Below are 9,289 nucleotides of genomic sequence, written 5' to 3'. Positions count from 1 at the left end.
GATGCGAAGGAGGCTTTGAACTGGGGAAAAGGTGGCAATGAGGTGTGGCTATAGCCTAGGAATAGTCAGGGAAGCAGCTAATTTGGTTAAAATATCTCGGCCTAATAAGGGAACTGGGAAGGTGGGGATAACTAAAAAAGAGTGCATAAAAGAGTGTTGTCCAAGTTGGCACCAGAGTGGGGGAGTTTTCAGGGGTTTTGAAGCTTGGCCGTCAATACCCACAACAGTTATGGAGGCAAGGGAAACAGGCCTTTGAAAATAAGGTAATGTGGAGAGGGTAGTCTCTGTATTGATTAAGAAGGGGACGGACTTACCTTCCACTGTGAGAGTTACCCGAAGCTCAGTGTCCGTGATGGTCTAGGGGGCTTCCGAGGCAATCAGGCAGCATCAGTCTTCAGCCGCTAAGCCAAGAAGATCTGGGAAGGAGTCAGAGAGCCTTGGGCCAGAGTTCCAGGGGCTCTGGGAGTGGCTGCCAGGTGAGTTGGACAGTCCGATTTCCAGTGGGGTCCCACACAGATGGGACATGGCTTAGGAGGAATCCTGGGCTGCGGTCATTCCTTGGCCCAGTGGCCAGATTTCTGGCACTTGTAGCAAGCTCCTGGGGGAGGAGGTTCTGGAGGAACCCCTGGCAGCTGCAGTTCAGGTGTTTGGAGATGTGTGCTGGAGACGTGGCTGGGGTTTCTCACAGTGGAGGCAAGGAATTGCAACTCAGAAATACATTGCTACTTGGCTGCCTCTACTCTATTACTGTACACCTTGAAGGTGAGGTTAATTAAGTCCTGTTGTGGGTTTGAGGGCCAGAATTTAATTTTTGGAGCTTTATTTAATGTCGGGAGCAAATTGGGTAATAAAATGCATATTGAGAATAAGATGGCCTTCTGACCTTTCAGGGTTTAGGGCTGTAAAGCATCTCAGGGTTGCTGCCAAATGAGCCATGAACTGGGCTGGGTTTTTATATTTGATGAAAAAGAGCCTAAACGCTAACTGATTTTGGGAGAGGTCAGATAAAGAAAAAGGAGCATTAACCTTGACTATACCTTTAGCTCCAGCCACCTTTTTAGGAGGAAATTTCTGGGCAGGTGGGGGAAGGCTAGTAGCGGAATGTAACTGTAAGCTGGACCGGGTGTGAGGAGGGGAGGTGATAAAAGGATTATAGGGTGGGGGAGCAGAGGCTGAGGAAGAATTGGGACTGGCTTGGCCTGGTGAGGAGGGGAGAAGTCAGATGGGTCTGTAGAAAAGGAAGATTAGAAAGACTCAGCGATGCTTGGGGTTGGGACTGAGGGGACAGGTGGGAGGGAAAGAAGGAGGATCTGGGATGAGTCACATTGGGAACAGAGACTAGGGAGGGAACAATGTATAAAAGAATGCCTGGATGTCAGGCACCTCAGACCATTTGCCCATTTTATGACAAGAATTATTTAGATCTTGTAGGATGGAAAAATTGAAAGTGCCATTTTCTGGCTATTTGGAACCACTGTCAAGTTTGTACTGGGGTCAAGCAGCATTGTAGAAGAAAATAAGGCATTTAGGATTTAGGTCAGGTAAGAGTTGAAGAGGTTTTATGTTCTTAAGAACACAGGCTAAGGGAGAAGAAGGAGGAATGGAGGGTGGAAAGTTGCCTATAGTTAAGGAGGCAAGTTTAAAGAAAAGGGAGAGTAGAGACATGGAGGGAAGCGGTTCGGGGGTTCTTACCCTCCAGAAAAGCAGGAAAGGGGTTGGGGCACAGAGATACAAGGTCAGGGCATGGAAATAAGGGATCAGGGTGCAGAGATATAAGAGGTTGGGGCATGGAAATAAGGGATCGGGGTGCAGAGATATAAGAGGTTGGGGTATGGAAATAAGGGATCGGGGCACAGAGATATAAGAGGTTGGGGTGCAGAGATACAAGGTTGGGGTACTTGCCCCTCCACCAGAAAAGTGGGACTTGCCCCTAAGGGTGAAGGAGAAGGGGCTGGGGGTTTCTTGCCCCCCAGAAAGGTGGAGAAGGGGTAGAGACATGGAGAGAAGGGGTTGAGGTACTTGCCCCTCTCCCAGAAAAGCAGGACTTGCCGCTAAGGGTGAAGGACCAAGGCAGACGTCCCTGTGTGGTCTGACACCTCTGAAACGTGGGTGAGTAATCAGAGAGGTGTCCCTGCAATGATTAAACACCAAGGGAAGGCTGCCTTCCCAGTCCGTGACCGGCGCCGGAGTTTTGGGTCCATGGATAAAATGTGTCTCCTTTGTCTCTACCAGAAAATGAAAGGAATTGAAATTAAGAGAAGGGAGAGGTTGAAGAGTGGAAAGGAGAAAGTGGTTGAGGGATAGTGAGAGAGGTTGGAGAAGAGAGTAAGAAGAGGCCGCTTACCCGATTTAAAATTGGTGAGATGTTCCTTGGGCTGGTGGGTCTGAAGACCTAAGGTCATAGATGGATCTTTTTCACGGAGCAAAGAACAGGACAGGGGATTGATCTCCCAAGGGAGGTCCCCCGATCTGAGTCACAGCACCAAATTTCATGCGCGTCCGTGTGAAGAGACCACCAAACAGGCTTTGTGTGAGCAATAAAGCTTTTAATCACCTGGGTGCAGGCGGGCTGAGTCCGAAAAGAGAGTCAGCAAAGGGAGATAGGGGTGGGGCTGTTTTATAGGATTTGGGTAGGTAAAGGACAATTACAGTCAAAGGGGGGTTGTTCTTTGGCGGGTAGGAGTGGGGGTCGCAGGGTGCTCAGTAGGGGAGATTTTTGAGCTAGGATGAGCCAGGAAAAGGACTCTTACAAGGTAATGTCATCACTTAAGGCAAGGACCGGCCATTTTCACTTCTTTTGTGGTGGAATGTCATCAGTTAAGGTGGGGCAGGGCATTTTCACTTCTTTGTGATTCTTCAGTTACTTCAGGCCATCTGAGCGTATATGTGCTAGTCACAGGGGATGTGATGGCTTAGCTTGGGCTCAGAGACCTGACACTCATTACATGTCTGAATCATTTCGAAATAAGTTAAACTAGCAAACATTAATTATTAAGCATAAATTTAAATGTAAATACTTTAGTACCTTTTTTATATGATATAGAGAAGCAAAATATATTTGAGTTTCTTAGTAAACATTAATTTTTTCTATGAATAAGTACATAGTTCTAGAAATTATAAGATATATATTCATAAAATGTTGCTATGTGAAAAGCAGTGTACATTGTTTACTTTCTAGATTTTACAAGAAATTATGGTTACTGAGAGTTTAAAATTCTAATTAATACATATTTTAAATACTTAGAAATAAGGAAAATAATTCTGTATGCAAAGTGTCCAGGGAAAGTAAGATGTGTTTTTGGTGAGAAAATTTGTAAAAAGACATGAGGACACATATTTTTAAAAAACAGCAATTTTCAGAGGTTATTTAAAGGTTGCTTCAAAATATGGATTTACAAAAGAAATAGAAATAATAGAAATAGAATTATAAGGGAAAAAGTAAGTAGGAGAGATGTAGAAAAAAATTATAACTATGAGGATATGTATTTGGGAAAGAAAGTTGAAAAGAATAATTTTCTCTTTTGCATGTGAGATAACTTTGTGTGGTAAAAATGATAAGGGGAAAGAGAAAGTAAATTTTGTCCTAAGGTAGAAGGCCAAAATAACAAAAGAAAGTATAGGACAAAAATAAAGTTTCAAGCAAGTTGTAGAAGACTTATGGAAGATTAATCTTATGAAAGAAATTTTATGTATGATCAACTTGGCTAAACTTAGAAGGGAATTATTAATAAATTTTACTGTAGCCTTGCAGTATAGTTTGAAGTCAGGTAGCGTGATGCCTCCAGCTTTGTTCTTTTGGCTTAGGATTGACTTGGTGATGCGGGCTCTTTTTTGGTTCCATATGAATTTTAAAGTAGTTTTTTCCAATTCTGTGAAGAAAGGCATTGGTAGCTTGATGGGGATGGCATTGAATCTGTAAATTACCTTGGGCAGTATGGCCATTTTCACGATATTCATTCTTCCTACCCATGAGCATGGAATGTTCTTCCATTTGTTTGTATCCTCTTTTATTTCCTTGAGCAGTGGTTTGTAGTTCTCCTTGAAGAGGTCCTTCACATCCCTTGTAAGTTGGATTCCTAGGTATTTTATTCTCTTTGAAGCAATTGTGAATGGGAGTTCACTCATGATTTGGCTCTCTGTTTGTCTGTTAATGGTGTATAAGAATGCTTGTGATTTTGGTACATTGATTTTGTATCCTGAGACTTTGCTGAAGTTGCTTATCAGCTTAAGGAGATTTTGGGCTGAGACAATGGGATTTTCTAGATATACAATCATGTCGTCTGCAAACAGGGACAATTTGACTTCCTTTTTTCCTAATTGAATACCCTTTATTTCCTTCTCCTGCCTCATTGCCCTGGCCAGAACTTCCAACACTATGTTGAATAGGAGTGGTGAGAGAGGGCATCCCTGTCTTGTGCTAGTTTTCAAAGGGAATGCTTCCAGTTTTTGCCCATTCAGTGTGATATTGGTTGTGGGTTTGTCATAGATAGCTCTTCTTACTTTGAAATACGTCCCATCAATACCTAATTTATTGAGAGTTTTTAGCATGAAGTGTTGTTGAATTTTGTCAAAGGCTTTTTCTGCATCTATTGAGATAATCATGTGGTTTTTGTCTTTGGCTCTGTTTATATGCTGGATTACATTTATTGATTTGCGTATGTTGAACCAGCCTTGCATCCCAGGGATGAAGCCCACTTGATCATGGTGGATAAGCTTTTTGATGTGCTGCTGGATTCGTTTTGCCAGTATTTTATTGAGGATTTTTGCATCAATGTTCATCAAGGATATTGGTCTAAAATTCTCTTTTTTGGTTGTGTCTCTGTCTGGGTTTGGTATCAGAATGATGCTGGCTTCATAAAATGAGTTAGGGAGGATTCCCTCTTTTTCTATTGATTGGAATAGTTTCAGAAGGAATGGTACCAGTTCCTCCTTGTACCTCTGGTAGAATTCGGCTGTGAATCCATCTGGTCCTGGACTCTTTTGGTTGGTAAAATATTGATTATTGCCATAATTTCAGATCCTGTTATTAATCTATTCAGAGATTCAACTTCTTCCTGGTTTAGTCTTGGGAGAGTGGATGTGTCAAGGAATTTATCCATTTCTGCTAGATTTTCTAGTAAACAGCATGGTACTGGTACCAAAACAGAGATATAGATCAATGGAACAGAAGAGAGCCCTCAGAAATAACGCCACATATCTACAACTATCTGATCTTTGACAAACCTGGGAAAAACAAGCAATGGGGAAAGGATTTCCTATTTAATAAATGGTGCTGGGAAAACTGGCTAGCCATATGTAGAAAGCTGAAACTGGATCCCTTCCTTACACCTTATACAAAAATCAACTCAAGATGGATTAAAGACTTAAACGTTAGACCTAAAACCATAAAAACCCTAGAAGAAAACCTAGGCATTACCATTCAGGACATAGGCATGGGCAAGGACTTCATGTCTAAAACACCAAAAGCAATGGCAACAAAAGCCAAAATTGACAAATGGGATCTAATTAAACTAAAGAGCTTCTGCACAGCAAAAGAAACTACCATCAGAGTGAACAGGCAACCTACAAAATGGGAGAAAATTTTCACAACCTACTCATCTGACAAAGGGCTAATATCCAGAATCTACAATGAACTCAAACAGATTTACAAGAAAAAAACAAACAACCCCATCAAAAAGTGGGTGAAGGACATGAACAGACACTTCTCAAAAGAAGACATTTATGCAGCCAAAAAACACATGAAAAAATGCTCACCATCACTGACCATCAGAGAAATGCAAATCAAAACCACAGTGAGATACCATCTCACACCAGTTAGAATGGTGATCATTAAAAAGTCAGGAAACAACAGGTGCTGGAGAGGATGTGGAGAAATAGGAGCACTTTTACACTGTTGGTGGGACTGTAAACTAGTTCAACCATTGTGGAAGTCAGTGTGGCAATTCCTCAGGGATCTAGAACAAGAAATACCATTTGACCCAGCCATCCCAATACTGGGTATATACCCAAAGAACTCTAAATCATGCTGCTATAAAGACACATGCACACGTATGTTTATTGCGGCATTATTCACAATAGCAAAGACTTGGAACCAACCCAAATGCCCAACAATGATAGACTGGATTAAGAAAATGTGGCACATATACACCATGGAATACTATGCAGCCATAAAAAAGGATGAGTTCATGTCCTTTGTAGGGACATGGATGAAATTGGAAAGCATCATTCTCAGTAAACTATCGCAAGAACAAAAAACCAAACACTGCATATTCTCACTGATAGGTGGAAATTGAACAATGAGATCACATGGACACAGGAAGGGGAATATCACACTCTGGGGACTGTGGTGGGGTTGGGGGAGAGGTGAGGGATAGTATTGGAAGATATACCTAATGCTAGATGACGAGTTAGTGGGTGCAGTGCACCAGCATGGCACATGTATACATATGTAACTAACCTGCACAATGTGCACATGTACCCTAAAACTTAAAGTATAATAAAAAAATAAATAAATAAATTTTACTAAAAGCTGAGCAGTAGTATCAAAAGTACACAGATTCAACACCAGAGTTCGCACCCCTGTGTTGGAACAATAGGGTTTTCTCAGAACATTCATCTGCTCTTAACAGAAAATTATGAGAGGTTTTACTTTACCTTTTAGGTAACTAGCCTAGGGAACAGAAATTCCATATTTATCACAATAATTTCTTTTGCTTTGTGCCTTTGAAATCTTTTGCCACTCTGGTTTTATTTCGTAGTGTCCTGTGATTTTTATTCTGATCAACTGTTTTACACATTTAATGTTTGACAAATTTCTCAAAATTCAAAATTCAGTATTTTTGAGTTAGAATTAACTTTGAGACATTCCTGAGGGCCCTGGAACTTCTCAGAGGATGTGTAAAAGAGATATGAAACCAAATGGTCTTATCTGATGTGTTAAATTGTATGAGAAACATTGCCAACATAAAGAATGATTGCTAACCTTCATTGAGTTATATTTCTATGGATATGTTATTAATGCATTCTAAAATTGTACACAGTTCATAGAAATCTTATGTGTCTTTGTATAAATGCTGTGAGTAATAAGTTTGGTTATTTTAAATTGTTGTATGTCACAGAAATAGCAAAATATCCTTGTCAATTGGCTAACTTTCATCAGGTTTTTAACCATGGCTATCTTATGTCTTGATGTCCACAGTTAATTGCTTTATTCTGATGCCTTTCTGAAAGCTTCTTGCAAGCAATTTTAATCCTAAAGCATTATGTCTTCAAAGAGGTTCATGGAAAGAATGAAAAGAACTCTGAAATGTACACGTTTCTAATAACTCTGAGTTCATATTATTGGACTGAATTTTGAAAACTCTAATGAAGAAACTGATAAGTTTGCGAAACTGCTAACCAAGATCAGAGCAAGAATTAATTACATGAGACTGAATGAATTGATTAAAAAGAATTATAGGTTTTTAAGTCTTCTTTATTTGAAACTGCTTGTTGTTTTAAAAAGCATTTTTAAATTGACACATTATAATTTTACATATTGATGGGGTACATAATGATGTGATACATATAATGTGTAGTAATCAGATCAGGGTAATTAGATATCCATCATCTCAAACATTTATCATTTCTTTATGCATGTTCTGTATTGGGAGCATTCAATATCCTCCTTCTTGTTATCTGAAACTATATAATAGTCGTACTACAGTGCTACAGAACACTAGAAGTTATTCCTGCTATCTAGTTGTAATTTTGTATCTTTTAACACATCTCTCTCTATACCCCATTTTGCAGGTTCTTTTAAAGTTTTGTATTTTAGATTTAAGAAAACTTTTTCTTTTCATGTTATCTATAGCTTACAACAATTTGGTAGAGCATACTTTTGTAAACAAAAATTGAAACACTTGTTTTTCTTAAGAAACTGTGAGTATTCTCATTTTTATGGCAAATAGTTATTTGCATAATAAGTTCAATAAGAATCTGCTCTCTTTTAACAGGATACAATTGGAAACATTCATTATTTTACTAAGGCATTGAGTAAAATGTCATATTTGAAAGCCTGCACAGAAAGCTTGGCTTTAAGGGTTCCCAGTCTTACAGTGAATGAGCAAAACGTTGTCACTTCCTGACAGGCCCCGGAACCTCAAGATATTAGATACATCAGGCAAAGTCTAGTGTCTGCCTTGGTTTGGCTTCAAATCTTCAAGAGGTTTTTAAAAGACTAATCTGAGGTTCCTTGTCAAAATTTCCAGCAAAGAAATTTAAATGGAGCCCATGTGATTATTCTTGCTGTACTTATGTAAATTATCAGGCAAATTGGTCTTACCATGATTATCTTCAATAGAAATTGGGGTGACTGTAGAGAGAAAAATTGTTTCCAAAGAAAACTGTGGTAGTCCTGTTATTAGAATATTGCACTGTTCATTGGTTTTGAGTTTTTATTATCTACCTATAGACTAGACTGGATTTTGAATTCCAGTTTTCTCTAATATCTGGCCACAACTCTCCAAACTAAAATAAAAACTCCAAGTTTCTGAAGGCTCTATCAGCTGAAGTTGGATAACTTGAAGTAAATTTCAAAGGATAAGTCTCATGCCTGCTGCATGGGCTACATAGAGAGTTCACCAGAATACACAATGCCACAACTAGAAGCATTCAGATTGCAAACCAGGACTACGCATTGTTATACTGTTGATTTCATGCTGTAGACAGCTTTTCCAAAGATTGTCAGGTCAAGACTCTCTATCATAATAAGAACCTTACCTCTCTTAATTTTTCCTTATGCCCACCTCTTTCAATTGGCAAGATAATGCTGTTGGCAGCACTGGGCCATCTGGAGCGGCCACAGGTTGCCACACCAGCTGCTGCAGGGAGGGCATGGGGAGAATGTGGACAGCCCCCACACAGCCCACCACCCTGGAGGCCACCATGAAGGGTCCAGGCTGGGTTGCCCACCAGTGGGGAAGCAGCACAAAGGGGGAGCAGCGCGACTGGGCAGAGAGGGGTCCCAGGGTGGTGCTGGCTTGCACATGGAGTGCAGGGCTGGGAGGCAGAGGTGGGGCTGCACTTTGGAGGCCCAGGGCTGGAAGTGGGAGCACTGCCCACTTCCAGGACCCAGCCAATGGCACAACCACTGCACCCACCCCTCTGAGGGTCAGTATCCCTTGGAGGCATAGGATCCAGGCCGGTAGCATGAGCTGAGCAAAGCCTGCCAGACTGAGTGGGCAGAATAGGCCCAGTGGGCCCAAGCAAAACTCAAGTAAAGGTGCCACCATCCACAGGTTTCCTGTCA

This window comes from Homo sapiens, chromosome X, assembly GCF_000001405.40.
Source record: "Homo sapiens chromosome X, GRCh38.p14 Primary Assembly".
Lineage (NCBI taxonomy): Eukaryota > Metazoa > Chordata > Mammalia > Primates > Hominidae > Homo > Homo sapiens.
The sequence above is the reverse complement of the archived record's forward strand: the minus strand, read 5'-3'. Positions refer to the sequence as shown.